The sequence below is a fragment of the Homo sapiens genome, chromosome 3 (genome assembly GCF_000001405.40).
Source record: "Homo sapiens chromosome 3, GRCh38.p14 Primary Assembly".
Classification (NCBI taxonomy): domain Eukaryota; kingdom Metazoa; phylum Chordata; class Mammalia; order Primates; family Hominidae; genus Homo; species Homo sapiens.
The window spans coordinates 98,128,523-98,147,478 of record NC_000003.12 but is presented as its reverse complement, the minus strand read 5'-3'; the positions used below and the strand labels follow the sequence as shown (position 1 = coordinate 98,147,478).

The window sequence follows — 18,956 nt, the reverse complement described above, 5'->3', positions numbered from 1 at the left end:
CTGTGATGTTAATAGCACTTGTATCAATTCACTGCATGTTCTTTCTTTTTGGATGCTTCATTTCTGAATCTTAGAAAACCATTGGTTATAAAAATTTGGCTTGAGCACATAAGTGATCCAGTTGTGCAACTGGGTACCTTTGCCAGAAGATGAAGGACTGAAAAACTGAAGTTCTCATGAGATTGCCAGTAGACTCCCTGTAGAACAAATTGAAGCCATTCAAGTGGGCATTGTGAATTCAGACACATATGAGAATCCAGGTTGTCCCAAAGGTCATTACAGACTTCTGGAATCATAAACATCATTTCATTGTAGACACTTCTAGTTTGAACACTTGAAATAACACTTTATGCCACTATTTACCACCACAAGTGACACTTCTGGCATATTTTTTCAAACTTTAGTATATATGTGAAATTTACTCTTAGGGCTTTGATTAGTATAGTCTTGTCTGATGTAATCAAAGCATAATTTTAATAAGACCAAAATTTTAGATGCAATTCAGGAGCCAAAACCAAATATAGCTGTCTTCCCCATTCAAATTTCAGCTTAAATTTTAGACATATACCAAGTTCCTCCATTTTAAGCTAAAATCTGATGGGAAATTTTACTAGGAAGAGGACAAGGGAGGAGCCAATATAAAACAAAGCCAGGGACTGCAGTGGGAGGTGCCCTAATTCTGTGCTTCTCAAATGATAATGCTTATTACTTTCCAAGAGATCCTGTCAAAATGCAGATCATCTCTCAGTAGTTCTTGTGTGGGTCTCTCAGGAGCCTTTATTTCTAACAAAGTGATGCCTGTGAACATTTGCCATCCAACAGGCCTTCATCATGGGAGGACATAGATTATCAAAGACCCTTGATCACTGGAGAAACAATAATGTTAAATGTGGCAGGTATGAAAAGAGAGAAGCAAGGAAGGGCCAGTTTTGTTCAGGGAGCCAGCATGGGGAGGCTCCCAAGGGAACTCAGAGGGTAGTCAGTGGTTTGTTCTTTACTGCAATTTACAGAAAAATTATTGAAGCATTATTGAGGGATTTTGAAAATGATGGCAACATGTCCAGTATTTTCTTTAGAACATTAACTCGGCAACACATTAGTGAGCATTCTTTCAGAAAACAAAATCTGATAGACTTGATTTGTAATATTTATATTTCATATTTAAATAGTGACATGTAATTTCCTTGACAGTAAAAGTGTTCATTAAAGAAATAAAATAACCTGCACTTGAATCATGGATGGTAAGTTAGTTGGAAAGTAAAAGCCATATTTTTTGGTAGATTCCTTAATCACTTATCCTTTTTTCATAGAATGTTTGTAGAAAAAAACAAAGAGGTAAGGAAAATACCACATAGAATACACAGGAGTCACTGAAAACTCTTCAGAAAAGAAATGTAAGCAGTATAATATGCCGACATAAATACTGACATGACACAAAATTAAATTAAATGGCCTCATCCCTGTGTAATATAATGTTGGGAATAATGAAAAGGATGAAGAGATAGATTCTAAGGTATTCAGAATGTAGTGTCACTTGGACTTAGTCCCATATTTGATGAGAATATAGCGGTCACTGAAGGAAAAAGAGTCACTCTGTGAGTAGGCAGATAGTCATCCAAAATAGAGACTGAGAACTCAGATGCATTGATGAGTTTGTAGTGTGAGCACACTTTGAACATCCAGGTGAGCTGTTTAGATTTAGTAATACAATTCTACAAGAGTAATAGAAATAATATTTTGGAAGTCATTTAAGTAGCTGAGGATATAGTTATGAATGTCATATCTATTGGAGAGTACACTAAAAAAAAAAAAGAGAAGTATAGCAAGAAAAAAAATTGATGGTATAATGACCTAATTTCCTTTGTGTATATATCCATTAATGGGATTGCTGGGTCAAATTGGAGCTCTGTTTCAGGTTCTTTGAGAAATCTTCAGACTGCTTTCCACAGTGGCTGAAGTAATTTATATTACCACCAATAGTGTATAAGTGTTCCCTTTTCTCGGTAGCCTCTCCAGCATCGGTTGTTTTTTTGACTTTTTAATAATAGTCATTCTGACTGGTGTGAGATGACATCTCATTTTAATTTAGATTTGCCTTTCCCTGATGACTAGTGATGATGAGCATTTTTTCACGTCTCATGATCACTTGTATGGTCTTTTTAGAAGCGTCTGTTCATGCACTTTGCTCTTTGGTGAACGGGTTATTTGTTTTTTGTTTGTTGATTTGTTAGATCCCTTATATATTCTGGATAGCAGACCTTTATTGAACGCATAGTATTCAAATATTTTCTCCCATTCTGTAGATTGCTTATACACTCTAACAATAGTTCATTTTGCTGTGCAGAAGCTCCTTTGTTTAATTAAGGACCACTTGTCAATTTCTGTTTTTGTTGCAATTGCTTTTGAGGACATAACCAAAATTCTATTCCAATGCTGATGTCGAGAAAGGTATCCCTAGGGTTTCTCCTAGGATATTTACAGAATAAGTTCTTACATTAAATGTTTAATCCAGCTTGGGTTAATTTTTCTATATGGAGAAAGGTATGGGACAAGAGATAAGACTCAAACCTAGCTCATCTGGCTCCAAATGCCATTCTCCTTCCACCACACAGCGCCTCATCTCAACGACGTTCTGAATGAATTTGGATTCAATCACCTGACTGTGCTAAGTTTGGTGGTGCACAGAACTGAGGAGCTGCCCCACTAGGGATAGCCCCCATCCAGTTTCCCCTTGATACAGGTTGTGGGGGGCATTCATTCTTCTATATATGGCTAGCCAGTTTCATTCTTCTTCATATGGCTAGTCAGTTATCCCAGCACCATTTATTGAGTAGACAGTTCTTGCCCCATTGCACTTTTTGTCAGATTTGTTGAAGTTCAGATGATTGTAAGTTTGTGGCTAGATTTCCGAGTGTTCTACTCTGTTCCATTGTTCTAGGTGTCTGTTTTTGTACCAGAACTATGCTATTTTGTTTATAAAGACACATGTACTCATATGTTCATTGCTGCGCTATTCACAATAGCAAAGACGTGGAATGAACCTAAGTCATTATCAGTGGTAGACTGGATAAATAAAACGTGGTACCTATAGATCACGGAATACTATGCATCCTTAAAAGGAAAAAAAATCATGTCTTTTGCTGCAGCATAGGTGTAGTTGGAGGCCATAATCTTAAATGAACTAATGAAGGAACAGAAAACCAAATACCACATGTTCTCACTTATGAGTGGAAGCTAAACATTGAGAACACAGGACATAAACATGAGTATAATAGACTCTGTGGACTAGTAGATTGAGGAGGGAGGAAAGAAGGAATCAGTAATAAAACTACCTGTTGGGTGCTATGCTCACTACATGCATTCAATATACTCAAGTAACAAAGTAACAAAGCTGCCCATGTACTCTTTATATCTAAAATAAAAGTTGAAATACAAAACATTTTGAGAAACATACTAAAAGGTTATGAAGGCAATGCAAGTCATTCCAGGCCAACACCTGGAACCCCTTTCTACCACATGGGTTTTGGTGGCAAACAAAGAATTTCACCTAGATTTGCCCAATCAAACCCACCCAAAATACAGTTTGATATAGAGAGATGGAGACAAATGTACATAGATAAAAAAAAATTAGTGCGAAGTCAATTGAGGCAAAAACATTAAGATTCCAGCACGTGCATCCTATGTCTACACCAATGCTACTGAAAATATGAGCTGTGTTTTAGCAGCAGAAACAGCCACACTCATGAATTTACTGTTGGGAAGGGACTTTGGCTGCTGACTAGCTGATTTACTTCCTTCTGTTTCTGCCGTTATTTTCCAGTTGATTCCTCCACCTTCTCTACCATTTCTATATTGGAGTCAATATCCATTCAATAAAATTTTTCCATTGCAACCCAAAGCCCTGGATGTTCAAAAGAGAGACAAGGGAGATAACAGAAAAAGGCAGTGAACAGAGTGATCAAGGGAAGAAGCAAGAGGGAACTAGAAAGCTGGGTTTTGTGGACATAAAGAGAGGGAGAGGAAAGATAAGTGTGACCAAGTAAAGCACAGGGAAAAATGATGAAATAAATGCTCTACAGGAAAACGAGTCCAGGGAAATCACTGTGTGTAGAAAGGAAGCCATTTTTAGTGGCTTTAGTGAGAGCATTCTCAAGTAATAGATTAAAAGTCAGCAAATAAGAAGTGAAGTGGAAAGAAGTAGCACAGCAATGGGGGGATGAGGTAGACTGCTCTGCCACACATGGAGAAAAATTCACATTTGTCTGCTGCTCATAAACTAATGTTTTACTTCATTAGAGTATTTAAGAAAAGTTCTCATAGGTAAAGATAGATAAGTGAGAGGAAGTTGTCAAGAGAAGAAAGGGATAGGAAATGTGGAAATGGAAATTTGTGTGGGTGAAATAAAACAAGGAGGAAGAAAAATAGGCACAGAGTAATCATGTCATAGATGGTAAATGCAAGAAAGACACGTCAGTAAAGAGGGAGACAGAAAGTATCAGAAATGCATTAAGCCAAAATAAAGGGAAAGGCTCCGAAGTTTGGGTTAAATGCCTGCATCAACTCTGGTGTTCATTGCTGCTAGAGAGAGCTTTGAGAGTCTTTTCATTTTCTTTTTTTAAAAAAATTCAAGTTTATTTTTCTATGGAATTAATGTTTGATAAAGAGACTTTAACTTGAAATTTTACCTATAAATTTTATACTGTTCATGAATGTGTTAGCACTGTCTGAAAGTTTATTCTATATTTAACTGTTACTCTACCCTTTTAGTTGCAGTGATTAAATTTTTCCAAAAATCTCGCTTCTGGTGTTGAGAGCACTTTATTTTCCATCAGTTTTTTGTTTGATTGTTTGATTTTTAGCAGAATCAAGTAAGCAAAAGAATAAATCCTGAGGCAGACAATATAAAGAACAAGTGACAATAATTCCACTTGGATGAAGTGAAAATGTTCAGCTGGGCATTGTGGATTTAGATATGTATGAGAAATACAGATTATTCTACAGTGTAATACGGACTTCAGAATCATACACATTAAGTCACTGGAAGTTAGTTCTAGTTTTCACAATTGAAATTATACTTTATGCCACAATTTTCCACAACATGCGACACTAGTGACATTTTATACAAACTGAAGTTTTTATAAAATTAGATGTTCTTCATCAGGAAGAATAGCTAATGGATGCTGGGCTTAAAACCTAGGTGATTGGTTCATCTGTGTAGCAAACCACCATGGCACATGTTTACCTTTGTAACAAATCTGCACATCTTGTACATGCACCCTAGAACTGAAAATAAAGTTGATTTTTAAAAATTGGATGGTCTTAATGTTTTGATTAGTATAGTCTCATCTGAGCTAGTCATGATTTTAATAAGGCCAATGATCTAGATTCCCTTCACAAGCCAATCACAAGTAAAATTGTCCCCCTCAAGCAAACTGCAGCTCAAACTCCAGATATTTACCTAACTTTCAGGGAGCTGAAATTTGTGAAGAAATTTTATTAGGCAATGGTCAAGGGAAAAGAAGAGAAAAAACAAAAACAGTCTTGCAAGGTATTCCTTCATAGGTGGTTCTCTGACTATACCTTCAAAATGTCATTCTATCTTTATATTCAATTAGAATATGTGTGTGTGTGTTTATGTGTGTCTGTGTGTGCGTGTGTGTGTGTGTGTGTGTGTATTTTTCCCATAGAGTCTAGGTGTAAGTCATTGACTAACTTAACTCCAACTGCTCCTTCTCTCTATGTTACCACCAAGTAGTTCTTCTTGTCTGCTACCCAGATAGAGCCAATTATCAAGACAGGGGAATTGCAATACAGAAAAAGTTTAATACACACAAAGCTGGCTAAATGGGAAAATAGAGATTAATTATAACTCAAGTCAAACTCTCCAAATATTCAGAGGCTAGAGTGTTGGGTTTTTTTTATTTTTTCTTTCTTTCTTCCTTTCTTTCTCTCTCTCTTCCTTCCTTCTTTCCTTCCTTCCTTTCTTCTTTCTTTCTTTTTCTTTCTTTTTTTTCTTTTGTTTCTTTTTTTTTTTTTTTTGAGATAGAGTCACACTCTGTCACCCAGGTTGGAGTGCACTGACCGGATGTCTGCTCACTGCAACCTCTCCCTCCTGGGGTCAAGTGATTCTCATGGCTCAACCCCCCAAATAGCTAGGATTACAGGCATGCATCATCATGCCTGGCTAATTTTTGTATTTTTTTATAAGAAACAGGGTTTTACCATGTTGGACAGGCTGGTCTCGAACTCCTGGCTTCAATTGATCTGTCCACCTCAGCCTCCCAATTTTCTGGGATTAAAGGCACGAGCCACTGTGCCCAGACAGAGTCTAAGGGTTTTTAAAGATAGTTTTTTAGGCAGGAGGCTAGGAAATGGGGAATGCTGATTTGTTAGTTTGGGGATAAATGCATATGAAGCTGAAGCTGTCCTCTTGTAGTAAACCAGTTTCTGGAAAAGAGCTATAAGACCAGAGAAGCAAGATTACAGTCTGGATGGTGCCAGTTGTTTCATCGGAATACAGGGTCTAAAAATCTTTGGTTTTACAATAATAATGTTATCTACAGAAGTAATTAGGGAGGTTAGGAATATTATGGCCTCTGGCTGCATGACTCTGGAGCCATAATATTTAATCTTGTGGCCTGGACCCCAAGAAAGGAGGAGGTTTGCCTTGACAAGGGGCTCTTACCATCTTTGTTTCAAAGTCAAACACTATAAAGTAAATTTTTCCCACATGCAGTTTGGCCTACACCCAGGAATGAAGAAAGTCTGCTTGGAGTTTAGAAGTACTGTCTAATTTCCCTATTTCAGATTCAGTGACAAAATATTCCTATGTGAGATTTTTCTCATTTTCATAATGTTATGAAATGTTTTCTCATTTTTATTTCATAATGTTCTCTATATTATCCTCTATCTCATAACTCTGAGTCTACTAAGTCTTCTGCTCAATTATGTTTTCACCTGAAAGAGTAAAAGAAAACTGGTCAGTTTTCTTATAAAGTCAGTTCATCAGATGAACCAGGCCTGCCTTCTTTAACCATTTTTATACCTTGATCAAAATCTGAGCTCAGAGCAATAGCGAAAAATATCCAGCCCAAACATATGCCCCAGACATTTTCTGTGGAATTTCTAATTCTTCTTGGATCATATGATTTAGGACTCCCTGTACCAGTTTATTCACATGATCCTGGGACCTAGTGAAGCCTGTAGCTGAAGCTAAATGTTGCATACCTAAGATAGGTATGCAAAGATCCAATCCCTCAATCTTCCAGGGAAAGACCAAAAGTGCTGAGGAAATAAGAAATAATCTCTTAGAATCCATCCCCAAAGTATTTCTTCAAAAACTCACTTGTCTGTAATGCAAACAAAGAAAAAAGGACAAACCAGTCTCTGAATATAAGGCAAGATTAGAGGTACTATTTGTAAAACATTGTGGTCAATCTATGTTGAGTTCAGGCATAGAAAATCCTTGTCCTATTCATTGATAAGATCCACCCTGAAATCTTTAATGTAGTTACAAAACAAAAACTGGAATGATATGTGAATGATGGGGCCAAATAATTACCAAAATATTTTACCTATTGGCATAAAGACTATTTTGGCTTGGTTATTTTTGAGATTCTCTTTAGAAGAGAAATTTAAAGGAATCTCCATTTGTAAGAGTTCTACATATCTGGTCCAAGAAGAGTAGTAGGACTAAATCTCTAAATAATGGAGAAGGTGAAGGCATTAAGTTAATCTACATCACAAACCTTACCTTTGTTTAAGGTGGTTGTCTTGGCTGTCTTGTCTTAATTAGGTCTCTATCAACACTCTTTTTTGTTTATTTGTTTTGGAAAATGATGGTATTTAAGTCTGAAATCTAAGCACTGTGACTTAACATGTAAATATTCTTACATGTTTACTGTAAGGCATGAGAGCTTTATCTTTTACAAGCAAATTGCAAGGACACGTCACATCTGAACAAAAAAGAGGCATTTGTAAATGGAGCAAAAGAAAAATAGTAAAAACACTTTCCAAAAATATTAATAAAAAGCTTTGACCATCTGGACAGGACATCTTAACTTGTTCCAACTAGGAGAAACACAGTTCATGTCTAGATAGTCTTATAAATTACTGAGTTTGGTTTTTTTTATTTCTGTTTTTTTTTTTTTTAAATGGAGTTTCCTTCTGTCAGCCAGGCTGGAGTGCAGTGGAGTGATCTCAGCTCACTGCAACCTCCACCTACTGTGTTCAAGCGATTCTCCTGCCTCAGTTTCCCAAGCAGCTGAGACTACACGGGTACACCACCACGCCTGTCTAATTTTTCTGTTTTTAGTAGAGACAGAGTTTCACCATGTTGGCCAGGCTGGTATCAAACTCCCGACCTCAGGTGATCCACCCACCTCGGCCTCCCAAAGTTCTGGGATTACAGGCAAGAGCCACCGTGCCCAGCCTTGAGTTTGTTCTTATTGTACCTGACATATGGCTACAATTTTAGAATGAACACTATAATATTTGCTTCTTTCTGTATGTTTATGTATGTCTATATATGTTTGTATGTGTGACATTTTGCTACCTTTGGATGGTACTGCAAAACTAATTTTAATAGAGCTCTATTTATTTGGCTTATTGAAGAATATGTGCTTATATAAACTAAGGATTCCTTAAACTCAGAAAGATAGAAATTCACCATTATATTTTTCAGATTCACATTATCTATGATATTCTCTGTTAAGTCAAAGCTATTTCAAGTTTGTTGGTTTAATTAAAATAGACATCTCTTTAGAGTTTTCAGAATTAAATATAATACAAACACACAACTTTTATATTATCTGAGTTTACGAGTCAAGTAAGTTTATATTATCTCTGCCTGATGTTTAAAGTCAGAAAACTAACAATTCAACTTAAACACCTATGTGAAAATATAATGGCATTTACTTCATATATATCAGGCACGGCAATAAAACAAAAAAACACATATTTGACTTTTAGATTTTTGCTTTTATGATGACTGACTGATGAGGGAAGAGAGAGACCCTCTCATATTGTTTTATATTGTTTTATACTCAGAAAAGGAAAGAGAAGTGAAACTAAAGGCAGGTAGCCTGGCGTCTAGGAACCAGACCCGAAACCAGGCCTGGGCCTGCCTGACCTAAGCCTGGTTGTTAAAATTCGACCCCTCACCTAGCAACTGTTGTTATCTATAGATTCCAGACATCGTATGGTAGGACATTGTGAAACCTCCCGTTCTGTTCTGTTTCACTCTGACCACCGGTGCTCGCAGCCCCTGTCACGTACCCCCTGGCTTGCTCAATCGATCACGACCCTCTCACGCGGACCCCCTTAGAGTTGTGAGCCCTTAAAAGGGACAGAAGTTGAGCACCTGACGAGCTCGGATTTTAAGACGCTAGCCTATCGATGCTCCCATCTGATTAAAGCCACTCCCTTCACTATCTCGGTGTCTGAGGGGTTTTGCCCACGGCTCGTCCTGCTACACTGACATAAACGTGCTGTAAATGTAGTTAACAAGAAAGTAATTTGAAACGATGACTGGCTGTGTCTAATGTCTTATGAAATTTTCATGAGTAAACCAAACAATTCAGAATAAGTGAATTAAATAGATGTAAGTACAATATACGTTTATAAATGAACTTTTAAACCATAATTATGTTTAATAAGAAGTCTACTTAAAAATACCTTCCCACTTCTCTGTGGTAAATTAAACCCTTAGAGTTTCACACAGTTGATTAAATTATCAATAGTCATTGAATATCTGGATTATTTCCAAACAACATTTTTTTAAAAGACTAATTGCTGAACATACACTTCTCTATTTTGGACTTCTTATTACAGAAGAAACAAAGATATTTGGGTTCACTTTTGTGTTCATATTTGTGTTCAACATGTCCTGTGGCACACTGAAAAATTATATAATGGGAAAGCACATACTTCTAGGAATTATGAAATTGTATATTCGTAGATTTGCCAATCTGTAAAATGCCGGTGTGATGTATATTTGTCAATCGCTTCTATCCCAGAAAAGAAAGTTACTAAGAGTTTAGAATTCTAGTTAATGTGTGGTAATAAATACCACTAAATAACATAAAGGAAACATCCCTGTATGCAAAGTATCTGTCTAATCTCAACAGATTTGCGGAAAAGGCTCTGACAAGTAAAGATTTCTGATAACGTTAGAAACACAACACGAGACCAGAATTAAAGAAACTTTGCAAACAATCTGGCCAAGTATACCTTTTGTAAACAGAATTAATACGTTTACCTTCTTCTCCTTAGCTGACCTCTCCAGAATTCAGAAATCATCATTGAGCATTTTTATTTTGATTGCAATATAGGTATTTGCAAAATTTTAATCAGAATCTGTTATTACAATATAACATAATTATGGTTATATTACCACTACTGTGACTGGAATGTCACATTGGAGAATGTGCATAAAATTAGATATGACTGGAGAATTTTAAGAAACTAAGAATTGACTTTATGCATCCAATTAAGCCCTGCCTCATTCCATTTAGTGTTGCAATAAAGAAATTCTTGAGGCTGGGTAATTTATAAGTAAAAGGTGTTTGTTTGGAGAACAATTCTGCAGGCTATACAGAAAACAAGGCTTAAATGTCCACTTCTGATGACAGCTTCAGCCTACTTCACTCATGACAGCAGGCGAAGTGGAGCTGGCAAGTGTGGTGATCACGTGGTGAGAGAGGAAAGGAAAGAGAGAGAGTGGAGTGCTGGGCTCTTTTATCAACCAGCCCTCATGGGAACTAAGACAGTAAGAACATGCTTATTACTATGATGATGGCACCAAGGCATTCATGAGAGATCGACCCCCATGACCCAAACACCTCCCATCTTCGACACCTCCAGAATTTGGAATCAAATTTTAATATGAGATTTGCAGGTATCAGAAAAATAACTACAGCCAGTTCCTTTAGAAAATCTGGGCTGATAGCTGCTCACAAGCTTTCTAGCCATATTGGTAAAGAGGAAGAAAGACCTTACTCTCTGGAAGGCCCAGGAACTGAAATATACTTTTAGGACCTTTTTGAGTACAGGGGAGTTTACCTAAATGTATCAGTGTTGCAGGTGAAACTAATGGTATGTTGTTGGTGTGACTTTATAGCTTGAAGAAACTTTAAAGTCTAATCGGAGATTATTTAGTAAAGGTCGTAATGAGGCCTTCTTAAAAAGAGATGATCAATTCCTATTCCAACTTGCACTTATGTAAATACTCACTTGAAGCTTAATGAGGGTAGATCTAGTTGGTAAATAAATTAGTCTTACTATAATTACATTTGAAAGAAATGGCCTGATTATGGAGGGAAAAATCATGTTTCAGTAGAAAAATATAGCGCACCCATAATTAAATTCCAGTTCTGTCCATTGTCTTTGATGTTTTATTATCTACTTAGAAACTGTCCTATTCCTGAAGCGCTACAAGCTAGGGCTGGACAACTTGATATAAATGTCAGAGGATAATCTTCATGCATGATGCTTAGTGTCCCACTCAGGAAGTTCACCAAACATTCAATGACATGACAAAAGACATTCAGACTAAAAAACAGAAAAATTATCAGACTGCAACTGCCATTTTATTTCATCATCTAAAGATGCTTTGAGCTTAAATCTAAAAGTCTTCTCAACTAACTGCCCTCTGGCTCACATGCTAAGCTTATAGGTAGTTTTAACCATTAACCTTTTATTATTTTCATTTGGTTTATTTCAGTTGGTTTTGTTCATACGTACTTTGGCTATGGAGCATACCCCAGTCCCTTGGTACTATGTTTGTGATAGTCATTGTCATCTTCTTGGTGTGTTGTATTCTCTCAAGAGTTTTAAATACAAGTTTGTAGCCACTACACTGTGCCAGATTTTCTCACTATGATTAGAATAACAAAAACGAAGTGTCCATAAAAGAAACACTTCTGTAAGAGACCAGACATTGTAACTTATGAGTTCCATGCTGAGACAAAGACAAACCAGCTGTGCTGGCCACAGAGAGTGCAAGTATGCCTGAGTTTTAGTCAATATCCCATAATGAGAGGCTGACCATAATGAGTTAAAATAATTAAATAAAAGTATATCAGGCTGACGTGGGTCCAGCAAAGTGGGTTTGTACCTAAGCAAACAGGAATCCAACTCATTGTAAATGGTAAAACAAAAGTTAACTTTAACCAACCAAAAACCCCAGCTAATTTCTAACTAGGAATTTTCCACTGGAATGATCAAAATAACACTACTGCTCCACTTTAACCAATACAATCTTTACTTTTGCCATACTTTCACATTTGCCCTGTAAAAGCCTTTATCTCCTCTCTTGCACCTTCAGGAAATCCCCATACCACATGCAATCTGGTGTTGCAAAATAAATCGAGTCTCCTCAGATAAACTCTAAATTCTAATGCTGCTACATTTGTATTTTAACTATATAAGTACTAATATATATCTTGTATCACTATGTATACATATGAAAAACTAAACATATGCATATGTATACATATAGATATAAGATACCTAAAACATACATGCATATAATCTGGTAGCAATGACAATCTAACAAAAGGAATTGAAGAGGGATATAATTAGTTAGAGTTCCATTTGAAAAAACAATCTAACAGCCATTTTGGGGAAGTGAGTGACTGTTAGAAGGATGGAGGAAATAAGTAACTAGAGGTTTGCAAAACTACATGTGAGTAGTTTTTATGCTAGGGACCTCAATAGTATCAGTGAGAATGTGAAAGGAATTTCAGTATTGAAAGATGAAGGAGAGGGTGGACTGGTAGAAAGATGATTAACATACTTGAAGTACAAGAAGTGTTAAGAAGGTTAACAATCAATGACTTTCCGAGGCAAAAAATCTCCAAAATCTTACCTCATTTTTTTGTTTTTGCTTCCTCTTGCTGGGCACCATGATGTCGTATCATGTTAACATTATTTGAACTTACATGACAGGCATTTAAAACTTCTTGTTGATAACAACACATTCCAACAACCTTGCAATATTATTGATTTTTACACATCTTGGTAGCTTCATCATAAAAACATTAAGACCACTTTCTTTCTTTTATGATACTTATTTCTTCTCTATGTCTACTCCAAATGCAGTTATTCTATTTAATCTTTTAATTTCCTGAATTAGGGAAGGCTTCCAGGTTGTCTAAAATCATATAATCATAGCTGGGAAGGGCCTTAGAAGCCATCCTAGAAAGTGAGAGGCAGCTTGCCTCTTCTTACTCATACGAGCACATAGAGTTAAGAGCATGCTCTTACACTATGGCAGTGCCTTCACTGTTCATTCCTTCTATTTTTATTTTTCTCATTGCATTTCCATTTCTGTCTGACCTGCGAGTTGACTTCCTTCAAGAAACAGAATTCACCCTTTCCTAATATAATGAAATGGAAGACCTTGATGGTTAGCAGAATCATTGGGACTTACCTCTGTTCACTCAAAAACAAATCTGCCTCAGTTATGGTATATGATGGATATCGCAGGTAATTCAGTAGTATTAGTATCAAAACCATCATACTCAAGTCCTTATATGATAAACTAGGCTATTTTAGCAATTAATGCATTTATAAATGCACATTGAATAACATATACAACTGTTAAATAGTTTTATTTGATTTCTACAGTCATTATTCTATTATGAACAGTATGAAAATTTCTTGAATGCTTTTGAATAACATATAGACATATTGCGATTAGTTTATTAGGTACTAAAACATTAGCTCACTAAAGTGCTAGAACAGTTGTACTTGCAAAAATGTTTGAACACTGGAAACAACATAGGTACCTCTAACTTGCATAATTTTGTGACTATTTTTGTAATTAGAGAAAGGATATTAGTATGAAACCTTAACATGTTTTTTTAACATTTTTGTGAATGAAACTGTGACTTGCTTATTTCTCAGACTGTAGATGATAGGATTTAACAAAGGAATGATGACAGTGTAGAATAGAGGCTCCACCATATCTTGATCATCTGCTTGCGGAGATGCAGGGCCCACATAAATGAAGAGAAGGGGTCCATAGTATAAAGAGACAGAGAAGAGATGGGCTCCACAGGTGGAAAAGGCTTTCCTTACACCTTTATCAGATTTCTTTTTTAAGATTGCGAAGAGAACAAATGTATAAGATACAAGAATAGTCACAATGCTGAATACCTGAATTGAACCTGAGAAAATAAAAACCATTAGAAAATTAATAGAAGAATCAGTACAAGAAATCTTAGACAATGGGATAGTGTCACAGTAAATGTGATGTACTATGTTGGAGTTACAGAAGGTTAGTCTGAATAAAAATCCTTCATGGATTAAAGCATGAAGAATACCACCTACATATGACAAGATTAATAGCCGGATGCACAGTCCATTGGTCATAATGGCTGGATAAAGTAAAGGTTTGCATATGGCTACATAGCGATCATATGCCATCGTTGCCAAGAGAAAACATTCCGTGGTTACACTGATTGCAAACGAAAAAAACTGTATCTTGCATTCAGAGAGAGATATCATCTTACTCTTAGCTAAGAAGTTATTCAGCATCTTTGGGGTCACTGTGGATGATATCCAAGCATCCACAAAAGCTAAATTCCCAAGGAGTAAGTACATTGGGATATGAAGGTGAGGGTCTTTCCAGATGACAGCAATCAGACCAAGATTCCCCATGATGGTGATGAGATATATTACCAAGAATGCCAGGAACAGGGGTATTTTCCACTGTGGTTGATATAAAAATCCTGTGAGAACAAACTCTGTCAGCAATGTTGCATTTTCCTCTTCCATGTCCTCACAGCATGCCCTCTAAAATAAAATGCAACAAATGAAAGGGAACATTTGCAATGGCATTATCAGTTGAAATTGGGGAAGAGGTGCTGAAGGAAAACCTAAAATGATCAGAACCCTCTCAATTTTTTGATCAGTCCTATAGCTGATGAATCTCTATTTGTTGCAATAAAGACATGAAAAAATGATATATTTTGGTTTGAAACTGTGCAGTAATTAGCAGATTTAGGTAAAACAAGAGGCATTCTCTGTATGCACAACATTTATATGGACACTATTGAGTGCAGTAGAAAAATTGTTTGACTGGCATATGATACAATGTCAACAGGAAAGATTTTTGTACGGTCTGAATTAAAAATAAATAAAATAAATGCCATGTGAAGTATCTTAAACTTTATTCTTCATACAATAAGCATGTGCCAAAAATTTTAAGATGGGAAATTACATCCTAATTTTTTTTAATTTAGTTTTTGATAGTGTAGAAAATATGCTGCAAGAAGAAGAAACTGTACTCAGGGATATTAATTAGAAACTTGTTAGTAAGGCCCAGGCAATCCCAAATCACATTACACATAAAAATTATCTGAGTGAGTTTTTATGAAAAATATGTTATGAGGTTTTAATGTAGAAGTTATTTAAGGAATTAGGTCTGGGGATCTGCATTTTGAAAATACCCTCCGGGGGATTCAAATGCATGTTAAATGTATGGTCTTGGTGTGATATGACATTGAAAGAGACAGTAAGACAAAGAAATAGATTCTAAAGAATTCAGAATGTAGAGTCTCTAGTATTCTGTGACATATTTTGTAGGCAGTAAGTGGTCAGTGAAGGAGAGAGGAGTCCCTTGGTGACTGGGAAGATGGATATTAAACATTGAGAACTCAGGTGTGCTGACAAGTTTTTGGAGTGAGCATCATCTGGACAACTAGATGTGTTCCAATCAGTAATATGAGCCTATTAGAGCTCAATAGAAATGATTGCTTGGATTCATTGTGGTAGTCAAAGGCAGTCAAAGGCATAGTTAAAGATGATGCATCCTTGGAGTGTAAAACAGAACCAAAAGGAATGGCAAGAAAATCAACTTGAGCAAGTTATATTAAGGAGGTAACAAGGTGGACATATGTCCTGTAAATGGCCAAGGTGTGATCTCCTTTTTTGCCATCGAAATCATAGTGGCTGTCAGAGGTAACATACTGCCAAAAGAACTAGAAACTCATTTTCCCATTTTTCTTACATCTAAAGTGAAGGGACATGATCTAGGATGGCCAATTAAATACACTGATCCTACATTTGGAATATGGAGAGAGGGACAAAAGATATTGGTTTCAAGGCAGCCAAAGCCAAAATACCAGGACTTTACTTAATGCAACCTTTATTCACATCAACAAAATTTACAGTGTGAGCTCTCAAATTATTGTCAAACATGAGTGTAAGGATACAGGAGTTAATATGTAAGTGACTCACCTTAAAAGTTTTAATTGGAGAATGTGGTTGATTCAGAGGAATGGGTATTTATATCAGAATAATTCCAAGAAATAATTCTAAGAATCATTATTATCTGAATCTTTAAACCAAGTTTTAGTTGTTTAATGCCCTAATTTATATAAACTCATCATAATAAGATTAACAAAATAGCAAAATATTAAAGGAAAAATTCAGTCTTATAACTCTTTATCCATATTAGAGTCATAAAACTAAAATATAAAAATAGTCCAGTCAGAGTCATCCAGTTTCTGACTTTCTATTATGACAACTTGTTACCCAATCTAAAATTTTAATGAATTAAATGGCATTATCAACATTTCTATAAATTATAATAAAAATTAGAGAAGTTATTTCTTCCTTACCCATATATTGAAGGAAATTGTGGATATCCTTTAAACACGTTGTGCTTTCTAAACAAAAATACATACAGTAGCACAGCAATGTCAATAATACAGGTAGCCATTCATGGCATATTCATTCTTTTTGAAGGTTTCTTTTTCCAAGCATAGAAAAATGTTGTTTATTAAATATGCTTTGAGCACATAAATGACCCAGTTGTGCCACTAGGGTCTTTTGCCAGAAGAGAAAGGAATGAAAAACTGAAATTCTCATAACAGTGTCAGAGGACTCCCTGTAGGACAAATTGAAGCTGTTCTAATGGGCATTGTGCATTTGCACAAGTGTAAGTTCAGGTTGTCCCCAAGGGCATTACAAACTTCTGGAATCACAAACATCATTTCATGGTAGACACTTCTAGTTTTAACAATTGAAATAACACTTTATGTTACTATTTACCACCATGGATGACACTTCTGGCATATTTGTTCAAACTTTAGTTTATATGTAAAATTTACTGTTAGTGCTTTAATTAGTATAGTCTTATTTGAAGTAACCAAAACATAATTTTAATAAAGCCAAAGTTCTAGATCCTCTTTGGGAGCAACCTCAAATACAATTGTCCTTCCCATGCAAATTTCAGACATGCAAATTTTAGACATATATTTAGATCCCCCATTATAAGCTAAAATCCAATGGGAAATTTTACTAGGAAGAAGACAAAAAGCAAATGTAAAACAAAGCCAGGGAGTGGCTTGCAGTGGGAGGTGTCCTAGGTCTGTGCTTCTCAAACTATAATGCCTATGATTTTCCTAGTGATGTTGTCAAAACGCAGATTCTGTTTCAGTAATTCTGGGGTGGGTCTCTCAAGAGCCTTTATTTTTAACAAAGCAGTGCCTGTGGACATTTGCATCCAACAGGTCTTCATGGTGGGAAGACCTAGATTATCAGAAAGCCTTGATCATTGAAGAAACAACAAATAATAAATGTGGCTGGTATGCAAAGAGAGAATCAGGAAGGACCAAGTGTGTTCAGGGAGGCCAGCATGGGTGGGACCTTGTCGGGTAGTTCAAAGATATGTTCTTTACCCCAACTTACAGGAAAACCAATGAACTATTATTGAACGATTTTGAAAATGGTGATAGCATGTTCAGAATTTTCTTTAGAGCATTAACAGAATAACATGTTAAGGAGCATCCATTCAAAAAAGAAAACCTAATTTACCTACTTGTAATATTTATATTTCATATTTAAATAGTGACATGTACCTTTCTTGACAGCAAAAGTATTTATTAAAGAAATAAAATTGCCTGCACTTGGATTATGGATGGTGATATGGTTTGGATTTGCTGCTCTACCCAAATTTCATGTTGAATTCCAATCCCCAATGTTGGAGAGGGTCCAGGTGAGTGGTGATTGGATCATAGGGGTGGACTTCCCCTTTCGGTTCTCATGATAGTGAGTTCTCACAAGATCTGGTTGTTTAAAAGTGTGTAACACCTCCTCCCTTCTCTCTCTTCCTCCTTCTCTGGACATGTACAACATACATGCTTCCCCTTCAGCTTCCCCCATGATTGTAAGTTTCCTGAGGCCCCCTCAACCATGCTTCCTGTACAGACTGTGCAACTGTGAGTCCATTAAACCTCTTTTCATTATAAATTACCCAGTCTCTGATATTTCTTTATAGTAATGCAAGAACAGACTAACGGACTAACGCAAAGGTAAATTATTAATGTCCCTACTTCTGCTACACTGCCTTATCTCTGCAAGCCTTCAGCAATAGCTTCATAGGGAGTTTCTTATAATCGATTGACAGTGGAAGAGAAGACTCAGACCTGGATACAAATGGTTGTGCACCATATTCAGGCGGGTGGCTGCAGCACTACTGCTCCTTTCTGGGACATTTTGGAAGGACCATGGTGAAGGGAAATCCTCCCAGTTAGAAAAATTTTAACTGATGTACTTGGTTGTCCAATTTGCTTAAAAGGAGAAATAAATAAATGTGTGATTATGTATCAATTTATAGGCTATGACTAATGGTTAGGCTGGATGATCAGGGACTTGGAAGGAGCATAATTAGAATACTGGTGAAAAGGATATTTGAGAGAAGGTGCTTGGAGAGATGTCTCTAACTGGGTATAAATTATGTAGATATCTGCTATGGTTTGAATGTTTCCCCTCCAAAATTCAGGTGTTGAAACAATGGCCCGTGTGACAGTATTAAGAGGTGGGGCTTTTAGTAGGTGCTTAGGTCATAAGGGCTTCTTTCCTTGTTGATGGGCTAAAGCCCTTATAAAAAAGGTTTCACACAGCCTTCAGTTTCCTTGCTCTTCTGTCTTTCACCACATGAGAAC

At 36.2% G+C, this 18,956-nt stretch overlaps 1 protein-coding gene across 1 annotated transcript; it reads right to left on the bottom strand.

Annotated features, from left to right (window-relative positions):
* Window positions 1-8,930: 8,930 nt before the first annotated feature.
* On the bottom strand, window positions 8,931-16,758 carry OR5H1 (olfactory receptor family 5 subfamily H member 1). The gene is made up of 2 exons (NM_001005338.2): window positions 16,629-16,758; window positions 8,931-14,799 (listed from the first exon to the last, which is right to left on the bottom strand). The coding sequence occupies exon 2, from the start codon at window positions 14,779-14,781 to the stop codon at window positions 13,840-13,842; it is 942 nt and encodes a 313-aa protein (NP_001005338.1). The 5' UTR covers window positions 14,782-14,799; window positions 16,629-16,758; the 3' UTR covers window positions 8,931-13,839.
* Between the last annotated feature and the right edge of the window lie 2,198 nt (window positions 16,759-18,956).

Bases quoted from the DNA above. Each gene is read 5' to 3' on its own strand.
- OR5H1 (NM_001005338.2), bottom strand. From the start codon at position 14,781: ATGGAAGAGGAAAATGCAACATTGCTGACAGAGTTTGTTCTCACAGGA.